We start from the raw sequence: 26,964 nt of genomic DNA, 5'->3' as shown, positions 1-26,964 counted from the left end.
AGAAAATTTGTCTAAATTTCTCACCAAATCTAACTGATACATAATTACCAGCTACTGTTTCAATGTAATTATGTTAGTAAGTTTTTGAATGGTTTATGCACAAACAAAAAATACATTCATTTGCCATGTCTGCTGGCAGAATTATTTCCTCTTATATTCTCCTCGCATCCATTTGAACTTGAAAGGGTGGACTACTTCCTCAGCAGTATTTGAGTGTCTCTCCTTCATAATCTTATTGATGAGCTCCTTTGTAATTTGTAAAGCAAAATTAAAATCGACCTGTAATCTGTTAAAGCAGTGCTTAGCTCTCACATCAGCCATTAGCTCTGATAACTCCTTTATCTTTGTGAAGAAGGAAAGGCTCTTAAGTATTGATTTTAAATAATATAACATAGCTGCCAATCTAGTTGTACCTGTATCATACTTAGATTCTTAGGTTTTGTTCTATCTAGCTCCTTGTTGCCCTTTTTGTTATGAAATAATGTACTCTTTTGTCTCAAAGAGGGGTTGTGGAATTGTTTGTTCTTTCTACCAAACAGCTATAGCCTGAGTATTCGCCACAATATAGTTTTAAGTAAAAATAATAATACTTTAGAATTTTATTCTGTTTTACTTTAAAAATTTTTATGATTAAATTATGCAGTTCAGGCAAACATCACAGAAATAATTTACTAGTACAACATGGTCAGCATATTACAATACCATTTACAACATATAAATCATTGGTTATTGAGATAGAGTCATCCTTACTAAAAATATCCTATTTGTTTTCCTGTATTTCCCAACTGCCTTGCAGTTAGGCAGGGTCATCTGACCAGTTTGGGGCAATGGAATGTGATATATCATTTTCAGGCTAATAAAAATTCCAATTCTCCAGCCTGTCTCTTTTTCTCAGCTGAGATGACCTAGAAGACTGTATGTTCCTAATGGAACAGCTACATGAGGATGGCAAACTATTAATTTTATTGTAGCCAATTTTTCTTAGTCCCCATATCTTACACTCATGCTCTGGGAGAAACAAACAGATTTTTAAAATAAGCTAAATGTATATACATATATTTAGCTTATATATCCTCAAATACAGTTATAAAAAATATGGAGTCAAAAAACACGGTGCTACTGAAAAGATAACATTCAGATGTCTGGCATTCAGTACCAGGCACCCAAAGATGCAGAAAAATGCAGCATATAATGAAGAGGATAATCAATAAATTAAAATTGATACAGAACAGACACATATATTATCATCAGCAAAAAATAATATTAGAAAACTTATCGGAACTGTGTTCTCTGTCTTTCAGTAGAAATAAAGACACTTTTCAGCATATTTATTTTATATATATAAAATGTATATATCTTATATATATAATATGTATATATCTTATGTATATAATATGTATATATCTTATATATATATATAAAACTTCAATAGTGACTGTAGTACCGATTATCTAGAGTTTTTTAAAATTTCATGGTACTTATTGGGACCATACCCATTGTTAATTAAATTGCTTTTGTAGAACACAGTGAATAAATTTAAACTAGGTTTTACATTGCATTCAAAGGTTCATAATAGTAGCTAATGCTGAAGATAAGAGTCTGAAAATAATTTCATTCAGCTCATATATTGTCTTAGATAATAGAGGCTAAAAAATGAAAATGTCAAAAGCCCTACCCTCAGTGATCTACCAGTTTTAATGGAGACCGTTGATGTGTAAATGACAAGTTTGAATATAAGTTGATTATAATAGTACAACAAATTTAACTATGGTATGCAAATAAAACTTAAATACTTTCAAGAGGGAGGTTAAAAGAAATAACACAAATCTGAAGTAGGCCAGTAACAGTGGTAACAAAGAATAAAAAACATATATTGCTTTTTTTTTTTTTCCCCAGAATGTAGCCACTATTCAGATGATAAAAGGAACAAGGACATATAAAATTGCTATCTAGGTTTCTAACGTAGATGACTCAGTAGTTCCATTAATTATATTAGAGAATCTATAAAAAGACACAAAAAACACTTGAAAGAAAGTACTATTGGTTTCTGTGAAATGACTCTTTTGTCTCCAATGCAAATATATAGCTTAGCACAGAACTAAAATACAAGAAGCATTTATTTATTTATTTATTTATTTTTGAGACAGAGTTTCACTCTTGTTGCCCAGGCTGGAGTGCAATGGCGTGTTCTTGGCACACTGCAACCTCCGCCTCCCGGGTTCAAGCAATTCTCCTGCCTCAGCCTCCCAAGTAGCTGGGATTACAGGCATGTGCCACCACACCAGGCTAATTTTGTATTTTTAGTAGAGATGGGGTTTCTCCATGTTGGTCAGGCTGGTCTTGAACTCCCAACCTCAGGTGGTCTGCCTGCCTCGGCCTCCCAAAGTGCTAGGATTACAGGCGTGAGACACCATGCCCGGCCGCAAGAAGCATTTTTTAAATGGACACACAAAACTACCTTATATTGTATATTATGTTCTTTATTTTTTTCTAAGGCCATTATTTCATTTAAAACCTGTTATTCACCTTTAATTTGCTAATATGTTATTTATTTTTTCTCCAAATGTTTAAATTAATCTTTAGTATCTCTTTCTTTTAGAAGCTCTAGAAGTTCTTAATGCTATTGGCTAAGAATGACATCCTGCACTCATTTAATAAAATCTTACATGGAAGCAATTTATCTGTAAGCTAACAAAAATGTTCAACAGCACTTGTGCCCTGATTTTTTGAGGTTTTAAAAGTATAAACTACATATAATTATTAGTTTACTTTAATTCAGAAAAAATATTTCATAGTATATTTATATATCTAGCTATCCATTTAATATCTGTATTATTCAACAAAATGCCCTTATTCAACAAAATGTTAAGGCAGATTAGAAATATGTAATAGCCTTAATCATTCAAAAACTTATTATTTTTAAAACTACCTCTTGGGAAAAGATTTTATTTTACCTTCGACTGCTGAAAATGTTCCTACTTTAAAGTTGCAAAAGAGTATACATTATAAATATTAAAACTCAAGCAATGGCTGTATATTTAATGACTAGAAAATAAGTATGTGGCTTTTTAACAAACTTACTTTTAGGGGTTAAAGGATTTTTTTTAGATGGTTAGAAAAATAATTACTATTGATTAGCAATTGGCTCAGCTTCTCTAGAAGGGTTGTTAAGGTTCTAAAATACAGAACAGAGTGTTATAAACAATATAGTTTTCTCCCAGTCTGTTTTGGACTAACCATTTCTTTGTTTGAAATGTCCTATTGACATCATTTATGCATCTCTGGAGCTTTGATATAAGGAGCAATTTAGAACTAAAGATTATTTCAGCATTTAAAAAGAAGAATGCTCAGAAACCTCCACAAAGCCATATGAACTCTATGTAAATGGAATGAAATAATTATGGCACCTCTCAATTATTATTTTTGTATATAAAGTTACTTTATGAAACTAAGATTAAATAGTTCTTTTGGAATTTTATTATTAAAATGGAAATAGAAATAGTTTCCAAATGTGTAAAAGGGGGAACATTGACAAATTGCAGAGAAAATACAATGTCCACATTTTGTGTACATGTTTCTGCATGTATTATATACAAGAGGTACTTGGTATTGGTAAGAAATATCTCTGTGGAGTTCTGTAAATTTCCAAATAATTTAACACAAAATTGTGTACTCCCTGGCATTCACTCAAATCACATTTCTGTTGAGGACCAGGCTTATTTCCTGTGCATACCAATCAACACAAATCATAACCAACTCTCCAATTTCTAGTGGAGTATTTGCTCTGTTTTTGGGCATTTGTGCCATAATGAAAGTAGTTAATAAAGCCACTTTTCAAAACAACTCGACATACTACAATTTAGTACATATGGTATATATGTGAGTCACGGACCTGTATCAGTAAGAATTTTACATAATCTGTTTAACTTATCCAACAGTTTAATATATTCTAAGAATATTTATTAATTCAGTCAATCAATAATCCATTCCACAAGTACTTAGTAAATTTCAACTATTCTCTAGGCTATAAGCTAGGTGCTGGAGATACAAGGATGCATAAGGAAGGTTTGCTGTCATACTGGTTCTTTCTTCAGCCTGCATCAAAATAGTTAGTGATTTTTTGTTTTGGAATTGAATGTTCTTTTTGACTGGTATAGTTCCCTGATATAGTTTGGCTATGTCGCCACCCAAATCTCATGTTGAATTGTAGTTTCCATAATATCCATGTGTTGTAGGAGGGGCCAGGTGAGAGGTAATTGAATCTTGGGAGTGGTTACCCTCATGCAATTCTTGTGATAGCGAGTTCTCACAAGATCTGATGCTTTTATAAGGGAATTTTCCCCCTTTGGCTTGACACTTCTCTCTCCCGCCACCATGTGAAGAAGGACGTGTTTGCTTCCCCTTCTGCCATGATTGTAAATTTCCTGAGACCTCCCCAGTCACGCTGAAGTGTGAGTCAATTAAACCTCTTTCCTTTATAAATTACCCAGGCTTGGGTATATCTTTATTAGCAGCATGAGAATGGACTAGTACATTCCTCATCTTTCTTCTTTTCACTACTACAAAATATTAAATCTCCAGACCAATCATTGATATTATCAAACACATTATGTTGATTTTTATATGTGTGATTTCCCCCCAAAGTATTTAATCATTATCTTTTTACTTCCATGTATCCAGTTCTTGGCATGTGGTAGGTTCTCAGTGTAAGTTTATGGAACTAAACTGAAGGCAAGACTGACTACCTCAACAACACAAAGAATTGAGACAGGCATCAGGCTCTGGCATGGGATTCACTGAATAGTTCAGCAGTTATTGGAGTTATGTTCACATAACCTGAGAGGGAATCACATCATACAAATTTTGGTCTCCTATTAGTCATATCAGTACTGAGAGTCTAAGGCAATATAAAACGGAGATAGGAGGAAGCCATCCAGACATGCAAATATCGCGCCTAGGAGACCCCAGAAAAATAGCCCAAAGGAACGCTGACTGTGAAATTCTCCACTGAACTAAACACTAAAGCAGCATAGGTTGAGATAGGGGAATAATTTAGAATCCAGGAATCAATATCAGTAAAATTCAACCAAGATTACACGTTTGGGAGTGACATGGATAATATTGAGTCTCACTGTTTTGCCATAGACTATGTAAGAGTAGAGATCAGGGTGAACATCTGCCTCAAAACAGATTCAGGTAGAGAGGTGGTAGGACAAAACAAGGCATCAGTCGCCTCATCTTTGGTGGCCTGGAGAGAGAACTCTATAGGGGATTGACAACTATAAGACAAGCAACATTAATATTCTTTGTGTTCAGCCTGTTCACAAAGAGGTTCATTTTGCTTTTAATATTTAGTAATGAATGATACAAAAATCACATACGTCTCTCACTCAGGACAAAATCTTCATATGAAATACATTTATTTCTTTATTTGAAAAAATGAACAAGCAAATATCGGTTATTTGGACCCTGAAATTGCTGTCCTACATTATATGTGCTTTTATTTCTTTTGAAAGTAGAAAATTATTCTACGTGGTTTTAACGCAGAAGATGAAAAAAATATAATTTACAAATGTACACTGATAGCTGACCATAGCCTTGAATTTACCAAAATTTGGTAAATTCAATTTGGTAATTTGGTTAACAAATTAACCAAAGTTTGTTTCTGCTTCAGACTTGAAATCTACTAAATAACTTCTTCTATGTCATTGGGACATCAGTGTTTATGTTTACACTATCAATTAGAAGTAGAGTATATGGAGAATTTAAAAAATTGATTAGCTGTCACCATGACTGTGACTTAAATTTGACATGTTTCTAGAACTCTTTCATTTCCTGTCACCTCCTCATTCTCAGTTTTCCCCTATGTTGCCACCTGCTTTGTAATTCTTTTTAACAGAGGAGAGAAAGCTGAGGAACAGCAGAAGGACATATGATTGCACGTGCCCTTTCCTCACCTGGTGAGCAGTGCTATGAATCATATTCCGTATCTATTCCACAGTGAAATGCATTGTGCTTCAAGTCCGTCCCTATAAAAAATAACAATCTAGCTTCCCTTTGGTGGAGACAGCTTAAATTGGATATGGTCCTTGGGGATCTGAGTTCCAAGGTCGTTTTAGGGAGGTTACACATCACCTCAAAGTAAAGACACTCTTAGCCAACAATAACAGCAAAAAATAAAGTATTTGTTAGTAGAAAAGCTCTGGTTCCCTTAGAAAATGAGAAATTAAAAAAATTAACTATAGTCACCCTCAACTTGAAATCCCCAGCTGGAAAGCTTGTGAAAGTAGATTAGCCACATTTCTAAAAATGTCATGAATTACTTTTGCTTTCCCTCAATTGAGAGTAATGTCAAGGGGCTAATCAAACAAGTTGTAGCAGAGAAATCAGGGATATTAGTCTAGAGTATCATTTGTATTGTCATAAACATTCAGTTTACAATGTCTCTCTAGCGTGTTCATGAATCACTTAAAAGGTAAAGAATGAGTGTTCGTTGATAAAAATGCCAGCCTATTTAGTTGGCATCATCCCTCTTCCTTCCCACAAATCTGTATTAGGTAAGAGGGGGTTTAGCTGCAAGTGACAGAAAACCCGAACGGCATGTGGCTTAAACAAGATGAAAGTTTATTTTTCTCTCATGTAAAAATTCAGAACTGATATGGGGCTCTGTGCTATCAAGGACACAGGCTTCTTTTTACTGTTTGCTTCACCATGCATTGCCTTTAACTTAAGGTTCAAGATGTTAGCTCCATCAACCTGGCAGAAAGATGGTGGAGGGAATGAAGAAGAGGTCAAACACATCCCATGCAAAGTGTTTACAATTCATTTAGCCTCCCAAAGCAGGCTGAAAAATATATCAGGGTGTCCACATAACCAACCATAACATATGTTTCTATGGGGTAATTGGGAAGAGATATTAGGGAAAAACCAGAAGTCTCAATCTCATTTGTTTCTGAGAAAGCTTATAAAATATTAATATTCTTATACTATAATTTTTGATATAAATACTAAGTATATTTTAATTTCTATTTCATAATAAGGGTTTTATGAACTTTCTGTGATATTCTATTACTTGAATTTATTCCTGAAGCTTAAATCATTAAACAATTATTATAAAACGCAAATCAACCAACATTAAGCAAATAAGAATATAGATGTTACATAGTAATAAATTAAAATTAAAGAGTTAAAGTTATCTGTATTGAATTATCTCTGTGCTCTTCACTGAAAAATGTTTTTGAATTATAGACTTTCCTCCTTTAAAAATTATGATTGCTCTTGGGCTAAATATAGAAGGTGAGTTTTTAGATGAGATATTGTATTTTTTTCAATTAATGTTGATACAAGTTTGTTTTCTATTCAAGAATCTTAAGAAAAAAAATAGTATTATTTTGGCCATGAGTCCTAAGTGGCATTTCTTACAGACTCATCTATTAATTCTCTTTTTGTTTTAAATAGAGATAGGGTCTCGCCATTTTGCCCAGGCTGGCTGGAACTCCTGGACTCAAGCAATCCTCCAGCATTGGCCTCCCAAAGTGCTGGGATTACAGGCATGAGGCAACACACCCAGCCTTAATTATTTTGATTACTACCATATAACCAACAAAATGATCTTTATAGGTGCTCCGAAGATATACCTAATATTTAGATCAAATTTTTGATTCAAACTCTTAAAAAATTAATCTGATTTGACCTCTTTAGAGGTCAGTTAAAGAAAAGAGGTTTAACTGAGCAGCAGTGCCCTGGACCCAGTCCAAAAAAACCTTTTTTTAAAAAAAAATAAGTGAACAGTTTATTGAGAATTAAATGAAGGTATGGAATGTGATACGGTATATGTACAGTTTATTAAGAATTAAATGAGGGTATGGAATGTAATACAGTACATGTAAGACACTGATGATGTGTATAATAGCACTACTTGTGCAAAAAGCTGAATTTCACTTCAAAAAAAAATCACAAAAGTAAAAGCAATTCTACCATCATAAAGCAAGCTATTTGATGCAAAGTACTAATCCTTCCCCCTCCCCTCAAAACTCCAACTTCTTAACAAACAAAAAGCTAACCGAAAATGCTGCCATGCTAACATATACATACGGTTTATATACATTTCATTTATATATAGGCTTGATTTATATATACACATGTATATATTTTGTGTACGTATATACATTAAATACATATATCAAAAATTGTCAAAGCTACCTTGGAAACATATGTCAGAGGAAAAGAATTTCTTGGAAATAGAATAAGACAAATTGCAATGAGTTGAGAAGTTTAAGTCTTCTCTCACTTATGGTGGTATGGTTTTCCTTGAATTAATTATCCAAATAAAAGAAACTTTAAAAACTTCCTTTTTAACAAAACATTAAAAATCAGAAATAAGCTTCTGATTTTTAATCATATAATGTTTTAATAAAAAACATTATCGATGGCATTTTTAATCAAATTAAAACTTCAAGATTCTTTTCAAGTTTTGGTTACTCTGGGAGAGTGTTTCTTAAATTTAAAAAGTAAACATAAGCATTATTCATGAGTGTCATGACTAATAATTAGAATTACCTTTGAAAAGCTCCCATTTTTTTCATGAAAATGAAACTCTATTTTGCTCAAATGTAGGCCTTTTAAAGTGGATATCACTATAGTTATTACGATCATAACAAATCCAAATCCAAAGGCAAGAGTTTCATAACTTACAGAAACTGTTTTTATTTTTTTTTAGTTTTTGAACGTTTAATTTTTATTTTTGAGATGGAGTCTCACTCTGTCACCCAGGCTGTAGTGCAGCAACATGATCTCAGCTCACTGCAACCTCCACCTCCTGGGTTCAAGCGATTCTCCCACCTCAGCCTCCCTAGTAGCCGAGATTACAGGCACATGCCACCATGCCTGTCTAATTTTTGTGCTTTTAGTGGACACAGGGTGTCACCATATTGGCCAGGCTGGTCTTGAACTCCTGACTTCAGGTGATCCTCCCGCCTTGGCCTCCCAAAGTGCTGGGATTACAGGTGTGAGCCACCATGCCTGGCCTAAGAAAGTGTTTTTTAAAAAAATTTTAAATAAGAAAAAAATTTGCACTTAAATTTTTTACAGGCATAGACCTTTAATAAATGGAGTGACAATTTGAATTATGAGGCTCTAATATTGCAAAATTTAAAATGTCGATTCCAGAAGACTTCAGTGTTAAGTTTTGGCATACCACAACTTATTACACAATGAAGGTATAAATTGCTCTTCTTAACAGTTAAGGTAATGAAAAGATGGGCACGAAAACACAAACATACATACATACATACATACAAATACACACGCAAACAACAAAAAGCTTCTATACATCTCACTGTTTTAAGTTTACTATTTTATAATTAAATATATATATTATTATATAATATGATTAAATATATTATTATATAATAATATGATTAAATATCATATTATTATATAATAATATAATTAAATATCATATTATTATGACTTAATTTATATACTGACATATCCACTTGAATCAAGATTATTTAAAAATGCGCATTCTATCTTATGGGCCTCACAGTCTTGCTCTATTATACCGAAGGGGAAATGGGCAAATCACTTTTTAAAATTAGAATACTCCCAAGAAAATTTCCTTTCACAAATTATTAAAGACAATCAACATGGCAATTATTTATGTTATTTTTGGGTAAAATTAGTGGAACTATCATGGGCATATTTAACTTTGATCAGAGTTAACAAGAAAGACTATATTCTAAAACAAGTACAGACAGGATGTAAGAATGTTCTTTCCAATACTGGAAGTAGTGCAGAACGTAATCACCTTTGCACCCGTTAGAAAATCTACTGTATGGTTCAGTGGGAGAGTATGACAATGGTTACTAGAAAGTCAATTTAATTAACCTTAATCGCCCAACAATTGCCTTATAGACTCTGTTGATTTGAACAAAGATAAAAACGTTAACTATGAAATGCAGAATATTAAGGATACTGTTTTGCTTTGTTTTGTTTTCCACTAGGGCATATAATACCCTCAGATTAAGAATAAATGTGCCTAAGGCACTCTTGGCTCTTCAAGGTGTCATACAAAGTATGTAAGCTTTACTGTGATCTCAATAGTAGGTAATGCTTGTTAGCAAATACTGCTGACATTACAAATAAGAAGTGATTAATTTACAAATTTTAAATTGAATTTCATTTCTATAAAGTTTGGTAAGATGAATAACTAGGTGGAAGACTGAAGTAATTACAGTATGTGTCCTTTAATGACAGAATACATTCTAAAAAATGTGTCCTTAGGTGATCTTATAGTTGTGTGAACATCATAAAGTGTACTTGGACAAAACTAGATGGTCTAGGTTACAGACACCTAAGCTGTATGGCATAGCCTAATTTGCTCCTAGGCTAGGAACCTGTACAGCATGTTACTTTACTGAATACTAAGTGCAATTATAACATAATGACAAATATTTGTGTACCTAAACATATGGAAACATAGGAAAGACACAGTAAAAATACAGTACAAAGGAGTAAAAAATGTTACATTTATACAGAGCACTCACCACAAATGAAGCTTGCAGGACTGGAAATAGCTCTGGGTGAGTCAGTGAGTGAGCAGTGAGCGGGAAAGCCCAGGACATTACTGTACACTACTGTAAACTTTATAAACTCTGCATATTTGAGCTAAATCAAATATATTAATTGTTTCTTTCTCTAGTAATAAATTAACCTCAGTTTACTGTAGTAGTTTTACTTTATAAACTTTCAATCTTTTTTAACATTTTTACTCTTTGGTAATAACACTTAGCTTAAAACAGGAACATATTTTATAGCTGTACAAAAATATTTTCTTTCTTTATATCCACATTCTATAAGGCTTTTTCTATTTTAAATTTTTTCTATTTATAATGGTTTTTTAATTTTTGAACTGTTTGTTAAAAACGAAGATACAAACACACACATTAGCCTAGGCCTATAAGGTCAGGATCATCTGTATCACTGTCTTCCACCTCCACATCTTGTCCCATTGGAAGGTCTTCAGAAGCAATAACATGTGTGTGCTGTCATCTCCTATGATAACAATGCCTTCTTCTAGACTGCTTTCTGGAAGGTCTACCTGAGGCTGCTTTATAGTTAACTTTTTTTTTTTTTAATAAATAGAAGAAGTATACTTTAAAAAATAAAGATGGCCGGGTGCGGTGGCTCATGCCTGTAATCCCAGCACTTTGGGAGGCCGAGATGGATGGATCATGAGGTCAGGAGATCGAGACCATCCTGGCTAACATGGTGAAACCTGTCTCTATTAAAAAAAGATAGAAAAAAATAGCCAGACATGGTGGTGGGTGCCTGTAGTCCCAGCTACTCAGGAGGCTGAGGCAGAATGGCATGAACCCGGGAAGTGGAGCTTGCAGTGAGCCAAGATGTGCCACTGCACTCCAGCCTGGGCAACAGAGTGAGACTCCGTCTCAAAATAAATAAATAAATAAATAAATAAAATAAAATAAAATAAAATAAAGTAAAATAAAAATGAAAGGTATAGCATAGTAAATACATAAACCAGTAACAGAGTAGATTATTATCATTATCAAGTACTACCTACTGTAAATAAGTGTGTGTGCCATACTTTTAATAAGCTAGTAGAGTTGTTTACGCCAACATCATCACAAACAATTGAATAAGGCATTGAACTACAATGGTATCATGGTTAAAACATCACTAGGTGATAGGAATTTTCAAGTGCCATTGTAATGTTATGAGACCATAGTTATAGACGTGGTCTGTCATTGACTGAAATGTTATAATATGGCACATTACTGTGTATGACAATAAGTGTATAATTTGTAAAAATGTAAAAGCCAAATTTTATCAGATATGGAAGCAAAATTGACATGCCATCATCTAATTAAAACAGCCTGATTTTTATTACATGTCTTGAAATTTTTTATTAACTCATTTGATATGTTTCTATTTTGAATCTATTTAATAGAGAATAAAAACCTAGAGATAGGTTTATCAGTATCAGAATGTTTATTCTGGCTCACTTAGTATACCAGATATTTTAAACAGGATAAAACAAATATGTAGATTTCTCAATGCAAATAGCTATTTTCCTATTTGCCTTGATTCTAAGTGACCAATAAAACAAACTTAATGAGAATTAACATGCAAATCAAATAAAGGAAATTAAAAATACCTTGTTTTTCTTATTCAATGTAATCATGTAGTCTTAGGGTACCAAAAATTTAAAGGACATCTAGGTTTGCTTGAACCATTTTTATATCCGATCTGTATTTACACTAAACAGTCTGTTATTCAAACTGGCCAAGTAATATTAGATCAGCCTGAATAAAAATGAGCTTGCCCTTTTGAGGTAGGAGACCTGCAAGACTTGTTTTCTGTTCACAACCCTGCTGAGTAAAACAAGATCTGGTCCAGGCAGTGTAAAATGAAGAAACTGGCTGAAACCATATGGAGAGGAAAACAATCCCTAGCTGCTCTAATTGTTAATTAGCATAAGATGTATTGATGGCCGCATCAATCTCATGACAGTTTACAAATGCCATGGCAACAACCTGGAAATTACTGCCCCTTTCCATGGCAAAAACCTGGAAGTTACCTCTCCTTTCATAGAAAGTTCTAAATAACCTGTCCTTCAATTTACATTAAACCACTCCTTAATTTGCATATAATTGCAAGTACCTGCAGATACAGTTGTCTACTGCCCATAGGTAGCTAACTCTGGGTGAACTGCCTGTAAGGTAGCACTGTTCTACTAGAAGCAATATCATTCAATAAAAGATTCCTAACACCACTGGCTCTTTCTTGAATTCTTTCCTGGGAAAAACCAAGAACCCTCAAGGCCTAAGCTCCAATTCGGGGGCTCACCTGCCTGGCCTGCATCACTTTCATATATACGTGTCATATGAATGTGTGTGTTTGTGTGAAACCACCATTACTGAAGTTAATTGAGTATGTTTGGTAAGTTCTGAAGTTCATATAAGAGTCAGGCATGTCCTTAGTCAACATTGTCAGTGTACATTTTCATTCAATTAAGGAAACAGGTAAAGGTTCATTATGAAGTTTTTCCTGGTAATATAATACTGGACCGAAAAACAGTGATAGGAAATAGGGAAATATTAGCAAAATAGAGAGATCCAGTCCCTGTAGTCATGGGAGCTTGCTGCTCTTTAAATAAGGCATCAAAGGTCCTGTATATCATAAGTATAAAGTTTATATCAGATAGGAAGAAAATAATTCAATGATGGTACATTTCTAATTCTGTATCTGTAAACAATGGAGTCAAGGCATTACTATATGGAACTTACCTGTATTCAACCACTGGGCAGTAAGGAGCTGTTCAGACTCAGTAGATGGCCCTCTAGAGGTGAGCACCAATTGCAAGTGTGATGGAAGTTGGCTGTGTCCCCGTTAAGTTCATTTCCAGAATGCATCACAGAATGTGATCCAAGGGTAATTTCAGTCTCCATGATCTCTGCTTAGAGACAAAGCTCTTGTAGCACAGCACCACTGTGTACTGTGTTTCATTTCTATATTTTCTTTTTCTGATTTGTTTATACTGCATGGTGTTTGAAAGATTGGGTTTTTAAGAGGTGTCTTTTTAAATATGTTTAATTCAATTGACTTTTCTGTATACCCTCTTTAACTTTCTTACAGTGGTGAATATTCACTTCTCAAACTGGAAAGAATTTTACTAACTGAACAGATTAAATTTTGTTTTACTTAATCTTTTTTTTTTTTGAAACGGAGTCTCACTCTGTCTCCCAGGCTGGAGTGCAGTGGCATGATCCCAGCTCACTGCAACCTCAACCTCCTGGGTTCAAACAATTCTCCTGTCTCAGCCTCCCAAGTAGCTGGGGTTACAGGAGCGTGCCACCACGCCTGGCTAATTTATTGTATTTTTTAGTAGGGAGTTTCACCATGTTAGCCAGGATGGTCTTGATCTCCTGACCTCGTGATCCACCTGCCTCAGCCTCCCAAAGTCCTGGGATTACAGGCGTGAGCCACTGTGCCCGGCCATCATTTTACTCATATAACTATTTTGACTAAATTTGAGGTGCAGGTTATATATACTGCTGATTATTTCATTCTGTCTACTAGTGATATGAAACGATAACGTGTCAGTGATTTTCATCTAACGTGCAACTGATTTGATATTATTTAATACTCTTCCTCAAGAAGAGCATTACGTTAATGAGAATATAGAATGGAGTAAAAATAAAAACATGTAAAATTATTGAAAAGTAAAGATATTTTGATTAACACTCCATTATTATTATATTTGTATATTTCTTCTAAGGAAAGTTGCATTTTATGACCATATGACTTTCTACACACACATATTAATTTGAAAGTTATAAATATTGAAAATTTCCTTTATTATGATGACTATGTGGCTCACCTTTTTAAAGAAAAAAGTGTTTATTTCTCATATGATAGATACATAATAGTTGTATAGGGTTCTCCACAGAATCAGAACCAATGGGAGATAGATATATATATTTATATATACATATATTTAAATATATATATGTTTAAATATATAAATATATAAATATCTCGGAGATATATATTTATATATTTAAACATATATATGTTTTTATATATATATATTTAAACATATATATATTTAAATATATATATATTTGACTTTAATGTTTAAAAACACACACATAGATATACATAAGGATATTTATTTTAAGGAATAGGCTCACACGATTGTAGGAGCTGGCAAGTCTAAATTGGATAGGGCAGGCCAGCAGCTGGAAACTCATGCAGTAGTTGCTGTTGTAGCTTGGAAGTAGAACTTCTTCTTTCCCAGAAAATTCTAGTTTTTTGATTTTAAGGCCCTCGACTGATTGGACAAGGCACACCCACATTAGTGAGGGCAACCTTCTTTACATAAATTCAACGAATTATAGATATGAACATCTATAAAACACCTTCATAACAACACCAAGATTGGAATCTGATTGCATAACTGGGTGCTATAGCCTAGTCAAGTCAACACATTAAAGTAACTATAACATGCTTTATTGGTATATTCTGCTGATCAAACCTAATTTTGTAGTCTCGTGTCATTAGGTCACTAGTGGAAATATTCCGTTGGATATTTCACAGAGTACTTTACATAAATAAGATAGAAATGATATCATTTATGGTAAAAATGATTATTAGTCTAAACCCACCAAAAATATTCACATTGTCTCCTTTAAAGGCTTCTCATCTGCTGTTTTACACAGATCTCCCAAGGCTTTTCCTTAACTCATTTTATCTATATGCGCAAGCCTTTTAAATGCAAACAAACATTGTAGGAACTAAAAATTAAAAGAGCCTCATTAATTTACAGACGAGGAAAACTACTCACCAATTACAGATAAGGAAAACAGTAATCAATTTACAGATAAACAAAACTCCAAGGAACTTCTCTGATTCTCTGGTTCAAGTAGATGCAGGAGCACATTTTCAGAATTCTTTCAGTTATTTGTCTATAACTGAGTATCTACTCTGTAGTGGGTCAGACAGTTTCCACCCGAAACTCATGTCCATTTGGAAACTCAGAATGTGGCCCTGTTATTTGGAAACAGGATATTTGCAGAAGTAATTGGTTAAGATGAGGTTACACTGGGTTAGAGTGGTCCGTAAATCCAATGCCAAACCCTTGGAAGAGTGGAGAGAGAAACGGAGAGAAGTACACTATGTGAAGCCACAGAAACACGCAGAGAAGATGGACATATGAAAACAGAGGCACAGATTGAAATTAGGCTGTCAGAAGCGAAGCAACATCAGAAACCACCGACAATTAAAAGAGGCAAGGAATATTTTTTTTCCTAGTGCCTTCAGAGCGAATATCTTCATGCTGACACCTTGATATTGTGCTTCTAGCCCTCAGAAATGTGAAAGAATAAATTTATGTTGTTTTAAGCCACCTTGTGTGTGGTAGTTTTGTATGACAACACTAATAATGAATATACTCTCATTACTCTTAACACCTGGAGGTTTCTCTACCTTACATTATTTTAGAAAAGAACAATGACACTTCCACAGAGAAACCTTAAATGACTTTTGTGCCATCTGAGAGAATATTGGGACTTTGTCTGTATAAAGAGGGAATGCCCCATTTTGCAACTTCCCTTCAGAGTCTTTTATAGTTATTAAAGTAGTGAAATGGATAAGTGTAATTTATAGTTAGAAGGAGGAAGGGATTCTTCAGAGGAGTTTGTTTAATGTACATCATTAGTTGACTTGAATTGAATTCTACTAAATCTAGACAAAACTTGTAACCCAATCCAGTCTGCTTTCCTAAGAGAATTCACTAACCTAATCTGGTGTGTGAAGTTCAATAAGTTAACTCCATTAGATTACAAATGAGCAGCCAAGGCTGTCAAAGATGTGGCCCTTCAAGGTGTGTTGCTCAATGTAGAGTCACACTGCAACCAAAGACTCATTAAACTGATCTAATTAAATAAAAACAATAACCCAAATAATTAAGGACAAAGTCAAGACCTTTAATGATACCTTAGCTTATCACTGATACTAAATGAATTTTAATTACCACTAATGGTTTATTGTATATCTAAGGCATAATGCAGTTAAAATCTGCCCAAAGGGGGTCAACCAGTTACTTGCGTACACTACGTACCCTTCTGGGAATCTGTATTAATTGTTCTTATACAGAAAGAAAAGTATGCAAAGTTCTCAAGGCATTTTCTGACAACTGTCAGCATAAGTGTGCATAAAATTTTAATTGTGTCTTGGGTGGCATCTAATATAAAATTATCCTTGAGAGCTTTTAAGAAACCTTTAAAATTTAGTTGCTATGTAAAAAAAGCTTAATAATAAAATTTCTGCTTATGGTGTTCATGCAGCAGAAGTTACCTTTAACTTACATGAACAGAACTGAAAGTTTGATTTGTGATTATGATAAAATTTAATTTCCTGTTAAAATTACTGTTTACAAAAGCAGCACTACAATGTTATATATTTATATGAGCCTACAATTTGCTTTTCAGCGGTTCCTTCATGAATATGTAAATGTGTATAAACTGCCTTTTTTCCCCAAAATTCAATATATTATTGCTCAGTTTTATTTAGAAGATTATTTAGGAATCAGTCATTAATATTCTAAACTTTGCCAGGAACAATGGCTCACACTTGTAATCCCAGCACTTTGGCACCTGAGGTGGGAGGATTTCTTGAGCCCAGGAGTTCAAGACCAGCCTGGGCAACATAGTGAAACCCTGTCTCTGCAAAAAAGTAAAAATTAAAAAATAGCTGGGCATAGTGGTTCAGGCCTGTAATCTCAGCTACTCAGGAGGCTAAGGTAGGAGCATGGCTTGAGCCCAGAAAGTCAAGGCTGCAGTGAGCTTGATTCCACTACTACACTGCAGCCTGGGTGACACAGCAAGACCTTGTCTCAAAAAAAAAAAAAAAAAAGGAAAAAAAGAAAATAAAAAAATAAAGAAAAATAGGAAAATATAAAATATGGATATTATTTTGGGTATCTCTTAGAAATAATTTTTGGGGAGGCAGCAAGGCAAAAAAAATTGTAAATGTTAAGCTTTTTGTGTTTACAAAAATAATGCAAGTATGTTTATCAGTTATGTATTACTGTGTAAAAACAAAACAAACAAACAAAAAAACCCAATACTCCATGACTTAAAGCAATAACCATTTATTTAGCTTCAGATTCTGTGGGTCAGTAACTTGGGCTGAGCTCAGCTGAGTGATTCTTCCAGCCATGTCTGAGCTCTATGATTGTATTCACCTCCCAATATTATGGCAGCAGAAGGGGAAGTAAACATGTCCTTTTTCACATGGCAGCAGCAAGAAATCCAAAGCAAAAGGGGGAAAGGCCCTATAAAACCATCAGATCTCATGAGAACTCACTATCATGAGAACAGCAACATGGTGGTAACCACACCCATGATTCAATTACTTTCTTCCGAGTCCCTCCCATGACACATAAGGATTATGGGAAATACAATTCAAAATGAGATTTGGGTGGGGACACAGCCAAACCATATCAAGATGTAAATGGTAACTTCAATGAAGGTAGTTCCAGTAGATTGTAGTAAGATGTTGAGTGAATATTGTTAAAGAGGTGAAGGTAGTGGATGTAAACTATTTTTCTGAGAAGTTTGAATCAAGAGAGAGAAAAATTTTAATTCTAAAATCTTCTATGAGCATATTAGACAGGTAAATATTGCAATATATAAATATATATGTACATATATTTTGTTGTACATTTTTGCTTCTATTTTCTGCAATGGTTTTAGAATCATGAGATACTGTGTTAAAAACATAGATTAATGTAGACATGTGTATATATAATTTATTTTAAAGTTTTGTTTCTATTTTAATTGTTCTAAAATGGGAAGACACTATATTTAATATTACGCTTCTCACTGAAGAATAATCTTCCGTCAAATATTTTGCTAAGACTAGACTCTTACACTCCCTGGAGAAAAATGCATTCCATCCCAAACCTGTAATGGTCTTCATCTTATGTATGATAGTTATGTGTCAATTGGCTAGGCCAAAGTACCCAGATACTTGATTAAACTTTACTTAGATGAGATTGACATTTCAATTAGTAGATTTTAGGTAATGCAGATCACTCTCCATAATTTGAGTGAGGCTTATTCAATCAGTTGAAGATTTTAATTAAAAAAAAAAAAGATTGACCCCCAACAAGGAAGAGGGAATTCTGCCAACACACTTCCTTTGGACTCAAATTGCAGCCCTTCCCTGAGTCCCCAGCCTGCCAGCTTGCTGTGCAGATTTGGGACTTGTGAGCTTCCACTATGTATATATGTCCTGTTGGTTCTGTTTCTCTGGAGAATCTTGACCATCACATTGCATTACACCAGGAGATGTGAATATTGAAGAATCGGGAAATGTAATTCAGTAAAAGGCACCATTCTTGTGAAATAATTTCCTCGAACTTTCTAGTTGTGGACAATGGTTATTGAATATTTGTCTATAAAAAGGTATTGAAAAGTATTAAATCATTGCCTTCCTGTGAAATATTATTTTTGTAGATGTTTCCCCAGTCTTAATTGCTTTCTATGTGCATGTTTTAATTGTTACCGCATCATCTTTCTTTCTGTCTCCATGAATAATATGCAGAAACCAACAGTGCAAAGCAGTAATTAATGAAAATATAAGTGAAACATTTGTATTGTCTGAACACCACTAGCACGAAAGACTTTTTGAGAGTATCTTTGTCACTGAACTAGGCTACCAAAGTAACTCTAATGAGAAGGGTAAAGAAAAACATATTTTACCTTTTTGTTTTCCTGTAATGAATTTTTGATTTTTCAGTGGCCTTAAAAACATAAAAAGATAAAAGGAAAAGTAAACTGATTTTTTCCCAGGAACAATCCACAATAAATTACTTGGAGAGTCCATTTGGAGTTTAATGAAAATTTTACTAGATAGTTTTTAAGATGAACATTTAACAAAAATGTTCACCTCACTTTGGTCACTAAACTACCAAAGCTAGAACACTTCCTATTTAGTGACTGAGTTACTCAGTGATCAAATGTGTCCTGAATTAAATATTTATTTAAATTAAAATAACTGTTTGAATGACTTCTGTGTTAATCTTTACAGAGTAAACACTAAAGCCTTCTTAACAGTCCAGAAAGCTCTGTGTAATTCAGACCTAAGCTCTTTCCTTGACCTCATTACCCCACATATCTCCCACGTTTCCCTCTGCTCCAGCACTGCAGGATTTCTTTTATTCTTCAAATGTGCAAAGCAAATTCTGCCTGGAATGCTCTTGGCCCAGTATCTGCATATCAAACTCCTTCATTTTGTGGAGGTTTTCTGTTTGGATGTTATCTTCTCTGTAGGCCTGTTATGCTACATAATATATCAACTGATCTTATTTCTTTCACCTATTTATTATATATATCAAAATATGTATACCAATTATGTGAAATATATGCTAATTAAATAGTTAATATGGACGATATAGATTTCAGGTTCACTTCAATCCAGACCTTATATCTTGAAAGAGTAACCCAATGTTCAGCACTCACTGAGCATAATGCATCATTGGCTGACTAATGAGCCCTGAAGACTCAGGGGTGCTCATGATCAGTGCGTACAATGCAACTAGTGGTTCTCATCGAGGCAGATAATTAGAAATACCTGAGCATGCTTCTGGCATTCCCATAAACACATGCTTGATAGCTATGCATTCAGTTATCCTCATCCTTTCCAAAATTGAGGTCTATTTGTCAAAACAGCAGTGTTGAGAGATAAATAAGCAAATTCATGTACACTTATAATTTTAATAATTCCATGTTGTACCCCCAAGGGATTTCAAAGAATTTTTTGAGAGCTTTTAGCTCCTAAAATTCGTTGACTGAGTCATAGGAAACTCATGAGTTGAATGCAATTCTGCAACTTTTTTTAATTCTTCAACTTGTCTGTTTACATATTGTTAAAACTGGTGTCTATCTGCTTTTAAACGCCCACTCATTTCAACTTGTACTTATAACTATTTGGGTACCTATTCTGTGATGATAGAAAAGCACGGTTTCATAACTTGAAATCAGTACTGTATTCATTTAGCATATACATTTTCAAAATATTCCATTCATCCAATTTTCAGAAGCTATATCTATTCATTTGAAAATTTTTGTAGAATTCAGTTAACATTTTTCTAATTTCTCCAAGTTATTCTTGGTCATTTGTATTTGTATTGTCTTGAAAATACAAAAATATCAAGACTTTCTTCATTTGTGCCTAGAAGAAAAAGCCACATTGAGTCATGTTTTCCTCACAGATATGTGATAATTGAATATTAAAATATACAGGAAGCATTTAGAAGATATAAAATAAGAACACAACAAAAATTTTCTAAAAGTGCAAAAAATTAAGTTTACTTTTAATGTTTAAAAAATAGTACCAAATGATTATGCCAATACCTGGTTGTTTTGATTGTTTTTGTTGTTGCTGTTATTACATTCACACCTGCATGGTATAAAAGGAAGAGCACTGGACAAGGAATCAGAAGATCTATGTTTGAGCTTCAGCTGTTGTACTCCCTGAGGTGTAAGACCTTAAATAACTCGCCTTATAAACCCAAAGAACATATTATTTATAATATAGAAGTAATACTTGTCCTACAACCATATGGGGTGGTATGAATAATCAATTGAGATATTAATGGAAAAATTGCTTTTTAAACTTAACAGATAACCTGTAAGTGGTGGGGAAGAGGAGCAGAGGAGCAGATACACGTGTGATCTTTAAGATAGCATTTGATAACTGATTTCCTCATTTTAATGATATTACAAATATAGCTAGAATCATTCAAAAACACTTTATAGTGGATATTTCTGGTTTAGTCTTTGAAACTTTCTTACTTCTGGTAACTAGCATCATATTCTTGGGGAGAAGTGCTCCCTCAAACTCCTATTTCAATTTTGTAGTTATAGTGGGGGCTGCCAATGATATCATATGGTTCTTGAAAAATTGGAGAGCATGTTACCCAAGCAGTGTCAACCAGAGCCTTTCCTGAGTAATATTTTAATTAGATGAACATAAAAGAAGAGGGATTTTTGAGATTCAAGTCTCTTGAGTCTACGATCCTCTAGGAAGCATAATAAGCATAATATCTGCTTTCTAGCTGGTAAAGGGGAAATTTTCTTGTGTTACATTCATAATCAATCCAGTTTAGTATGAAATTCTGGAAAGTGGCAATTCAAAACAAATTGATACTTTATATATAAAGTGGTATAAATTGTTGTAGTTGGGATTATGCCTGCTATTGCTTTTCTCACACCTGGTATTTAGTGGGGGACTGAGCAGAAGTAACTACAGCTGGTAAATGCAGCCAACCTATTAGCTTGTAATTCTAAGAAACTTTCAACAAGAATATTTGGAATTATAGTAAGATATTTGGGACTTAAAGAGGTTGCAGTGATACTCTGTTTCTTTTTTTAAAAAATTTCATATTGGTTAAAAGAGAACATTTTATTCCTGTATAATTCCCAATCTAGTGGTAAATAGCTGCAAAAGAAATGGGAATACTCAGAAAATGTTTAAAAACATTTATTTAACATGTAATTTACTGTTTCATTTACTTTCCATTTTCTAGTGTTTCATGTTCTGAAGAATATAATTTAAAAATTGTTGTTACTTTATTATTATTATCATTTTTATTAATCAGAATGTCAAAATTTTAGTGGTTCACTGACTTGATTTCTATTCACGCCACTTATACATGAACAATCAAGCAGATTTGGATCAAAGGACTCAGTAATGCTTCTTTATTACAGAGCCATTTAGTACTTTGGGAGCCAGGTGTATTTTTATACAATAAATTGAGGAAAAAAGGTGAGCCACTGTTTTATAATAAAATATGCCTGCCAGGTATTAATAACTATAGCTTGTGTCACAGTTGACAAGAGCTATTTTTGAATTTGTTATGAATTTCAGAATCTCTAACAACAGATTATGTTTCAAATATTCCTAGGGGTACTAGAAAAGGTTGTCGGCCTTGATGTATACTACATTCATTAGACAGTTATTCTGAGTCACCAGTTCGCATAGTTCTTATAAGAATGTGTGCAACTACAGTCATAACTTAAAGAAAAATATGTGTAAGAAAGAGAAAGGAAAATAAGCATACAATAAAAATTGAATTAAGCCATCTGCTGTGAACTGAATGTTTGTGTCCCCCCAAATTTATATGTTGAAACTCTAGCCCCCAGTGTGGTGGAATCAGGACCTTAGAGAATTAATTACATATTGAGATTGGGGCCCTCAGGAGTGGGATAAATACACTTATAGAAGGGACCCCTGAGAGCTGTCTTGCCCTCTTTCTGCCACATGGGGATACAAAGATAAATCAGCATTCTGCACACTAAAAGAGAACCCTCACCAGAACCCAACGATACTGTCACCTTGATCTCAGACTTTCAGCCTTCAGAACTGTGAGAAATAAATTTCAGTTGTTTATAAGCCACCTAGTCTATAGTACTTTGTTATAGCAGCCTGAACTAAGACAATAACTTTAAAAAGAAACAACTCAAAACAATCCATCTTTATAAAACTAGAGTTTTCACATTCTTCTGACTCTTTACAAAAAAATTTCCTGACTTTTAGTCCTAGAGAATATCTGCTACCTTCTAAGTTATATTGTTATATCAGTGTGACATGGTAGCTGGGGCTAGCTGCATTTTCAGTTGTGAATTTGTTTGGTTTACTCTCCAAAGTTGAAATCTCAATATACATTAATGAAAATACCACTTCTAAAAGCCATGGTAAGGAAGATAATGGAATAAAAACAAAGGAAGTGTATATGCTGCCATGATGATCCTTTCATAGTGTTATTTTCTATATCTAAAGACATAGAAAGAACAAAAAAAGTCAACTCATTTTATTTCATCAAATCCAATTTTAATGTGATTGGCTGCCTTTGGGAGTTCAATGTGGGCCATATGTTTGCGGAGGTTGGAAGGCCAGTTAGATGATTTGAAAGTACAAGTGAAAATAAAAATTGTCCGTAACTTCCCTTCTCTGGGTAGTGTGCATCTTTAAGATTTTTAAATAAATAGATGTAGATGTAAATATAAAAGAAATCAAGCTCAACATACTGTTTGCAAGTATGTTTTCTTATTTAACAATGGTTTTTGTTTATTTCAGACAACTTTTATGTCATGTCTATTTTGTAGACTTCAATCATTAGGTTGAATGTCCCTAGGATTAATTGACTAATGTCTTAAGATCTAGCTAAAAAAGAATCTTAGGATCCAGGGAACAATGATTTTTATTTTAAAATTTTCCTCTAAAAATAACTAATAGTTAAATACAAAAGTAATTTGTTAATTTATGATGATCTACAAATAGTTTTGCACTGTCTAGTTATTTTTATATATCATTAATATTTAACTAAAAAAAAATCAACCATGAGATATAGAAAGGGGTGCAGTGGTTTAATATGAGAGACTAGAAAAGCAGACAATCTACCTTAAAATCTAATGAACATATTTATTTTAATGCATTAGTACAATGTATGAATGGTATCTTAAAATGACTTTTATTTAAAGCTTCCATAAAGGAATATATTAAGAGTCTGGAATATACCCATGATTATCTGGAAACAGCTGGTTCCGTTTCACCATCGTTTCAAGTGAAGCCCCAGTTTTGTGCTTTTCTGCCAGAAATAACGTCAGCCCAGAAGCCCTGAATCCCAACAGCACTGAACTGCCGGAGTTCCACCCAGTGTGGGCACATAAGTGGCTTCCTCAACCCACAGAAAGATGTGTTGCTAAGACCGTAAGGTGACCTTTTAACTTCTTCAGAGATAGTTTCAGTCATGCATATCTTTAAACTGCTACATCTCACCCTTGGTTAAGCCATTTTTTAGAAAATTATGAGATCTAATGTTGTCACCTAGTCTGAAATACTGTAATACTGTGGCAAAGTCCTACAACAGGCAGTCATTAATAACAGGTAGAAAGAAAAGACCGAGGAGAATGGCTAGTAAGACATGGAAGTAAGTGATTAAAAAAATAAAATTAATCTTGACATCTGCCCTCCTTGGCCTCCGAAAGTGAAACCCCGTCTCTACCGAAAATATAAAAATTGGGCATGTGCCGGTAGTCCCAGCTACTCGGGAGGCAGAGGCAGGAGAATAGCTTGAACCCAGGAGTCAGAGGTTGCAGTGAGCCGAGATTGGGCCACTGCACTCCAGTCTAGTGACAGAGAAAGACTACATCACAAAACAAAGCAAAACAAAAAAAATTAATCAAATATGTATTTTGACAATAAAATAGCATTTCGATTCATTGCCAAGAATTTTTGTTTAAATATTTAGTTTTTGCTTCTCCATTTACAGTTCATTTTTAGTGTCTTACATATTAAAACATACTGATCTATTTATAAATGTTTTCCAATCCTTATTTAGACAAATTCTATGCTGACTCACCCATGGGGAACGTTTAAGCATGAAGATGTGGTTTAAGCATTTCCACCTTACAAAGTAAATACAAGGCTCATGCCCATCATCCGGACACTTTGGGAGGCCAAGACAGGAGGATTGCTTCAGCCTAGAAGTTTGAGACCAGCTTGAGCAATATAGTGAGACCCTGTCTCTACAAAAGAAAAAAAAAAAACCACTAAAAAATAGCTGGACATGGTGGTACATGCCTGTAATTAGTCCCAGCTATTTAGGAGGCAAAGGTGGGAGGATCACTTGAGCCCTGGAGGTAGAGGCTGCCATGAGCTGTGCTTGTGCCATTGCATTCCAGCCTGGGCAAAAGAACAAAACCCTGTCTCTCAAACAAAAACAAAACAAAATCAGAACACAAATAATGTCTTAGAATGCAAGCAGCAATTAGAGATGTATAGATATTCTCCTCATTTTATAGGAGAGAAAATTGCAGCCAAGAGAACTTAAGTTAATGCAAGCATGTAGCCTATCTCTAAATTCCATTTGTGCTATTGTTGATTAACAATCATTCAGTGGAAATCTACCTTAAAATCTAATGAACATATTTATTTTAATGCATTAGTACAATGTATGAGCAGTATCTTAAAATGACTTTCATTTAAAGCTTAAAATAAATGTTTTTCCCTTGTTTGTCCAGGAGCCCTCTTGCATTTTAAGTATTTAGAGAATGGACCACCCCAAACAATTTAAAGCGTAGTTCAAAGCATAATCAATATTACTTAGAAGAGTCGTTAAAATTTAGGTGAGGCTTTTCTTCCTTTAGTTTAGATTCTTAATAGTAAAGAATATCAAGTGAATGAAATTGGTGCATGCCATAACAAGAAAATTGTTTCTTGAGACTTTCGTAACATACTATCCGTTTATTTTAATATTCTGCCTTGATGTTCACAACAGTGCTTTCGATCTCCAGATTGAAAACAATGATTTTTAACTAGCTTTCCATATATAACTATTAATAAGTACACCATGGCAATCCATTGTGATTAAGCGGGGATAAAGACTGTTGTTTTCTTGTACTCGATAGGAATAAAGCGATGCATCCTCCCAGTCTCAAAATAAATGCAAAAGTGGAGCTATCTATTATCGGAGAGTTCTCATTTGTCTTTTGTTCTTTAGCCTAGCCGGTCTTATCACAACCTGAGTCTAATAGAACCAATATTACCAAAGAAGCAGGAGACAAAAGGAATCAAAAACACAAAAAATATTTAAAACAAAAAAAAATGGATTTTTTTTTTACCTCCAACACTGTTTAATCATTTCAAGTTATTTTAAAAATCCTTTTTCTTAAGGCACTGCAGCATTGTCATGATAATAAGCATGGGAAAAACACAATGGATGATTTAAAAAACAAAACAAAACACAGACTCCCTTTTACATCAAGTATCATGGCCTGGCCTGAGGAAATGGGAGAAAATCAGTGGTAAAAGTCAGTGATTTTCACACAAAGGTATGCAAATGCTTCAAAAAACTGAAAGGGATTAGTTATATATTTCAGCAGTTAGTGTTCTCCCCAGAGAAACTCCTCGCAATTATAATGCAACCAACATCAGCAATGGATGTAGTCCCACTGTTTAACTGGATAAAACATCTATTTTTTTTTACTATCATCTTACTTGCTGGTAAGAAAAGACAAAAAACCTATGTTGCTGATATTAATCATATGTTTATGTTTTCATTGGATCAACAGATACATGGACACAGGCATCACTAATGTATATTGAGGATTGTCCTAATTGTAAATAGCATTTGTTTAGACTTACTGTGATACTAGATTGATGAAGGATGGCAGACCTATTATCTTTTCCTATTTAATGTCATAGTTCTGTTAAGAATAAAAAAAGATACCATAAAGACACTTAATAGAGGACACAGAGATAAGAATCTCAAAATAAAGGTATAACTATGGACATAATTTATCTCAATGAGTTGATATCTAATACTGAAAGCACAGCAATAAAATGGAAGTAAAATGTTACCAAGTCAGC

The 26,964-nt window shown here is 33.8% G+C and overlaps 1 protein-coding gene across 5 annotated transcripts in view, besides 1 other annotated feature; it reads left to right on the top strand.

Annotated features, from left to right (window-relative positions):
- The window catches only part of PCDH9 (protocadherin 9), a 927,503-nt gene that overhangs the window by 673,027 nt on the left and 227,512 nt on the right, over positions 1–26,964 (top strand). The window lies entirely within an intron of this gene.
- Positions 26,138–26,639: an enhancer, noted in NCBI's record as "NANOG hESC enhancer chr13:67104803-67105304 (GRCh37/hg19 assembly coordinates)". NCBI's record gives its function as "activates a minimal SCP1, AML or CMV promoter by ChIP-STARR-seq in primed H9 embryonic stem cells {active_cell/tissue: H9 hESC(primed)}" and the evidence as "EXISTENCE:reporter gene assay evidence [ECO:0000049][PMID:30033119]".

The sequence above is a fragment of the Homo sapiens genome, chromosome 13, assembly GCF_000001405.40.
Source record: "Homo sapiens chromosome 13, GRCh38.p14 Primary Assembly".
Classification (NCBI taxonomy): Eukaryota; Metazoa; Chordata; class Mammalia; order Primates; family Hominidae; genus Homo; species Homo sapiens.
This window is presented reverse-complemented; position numbering and strand designations above follow the sequence as displayed.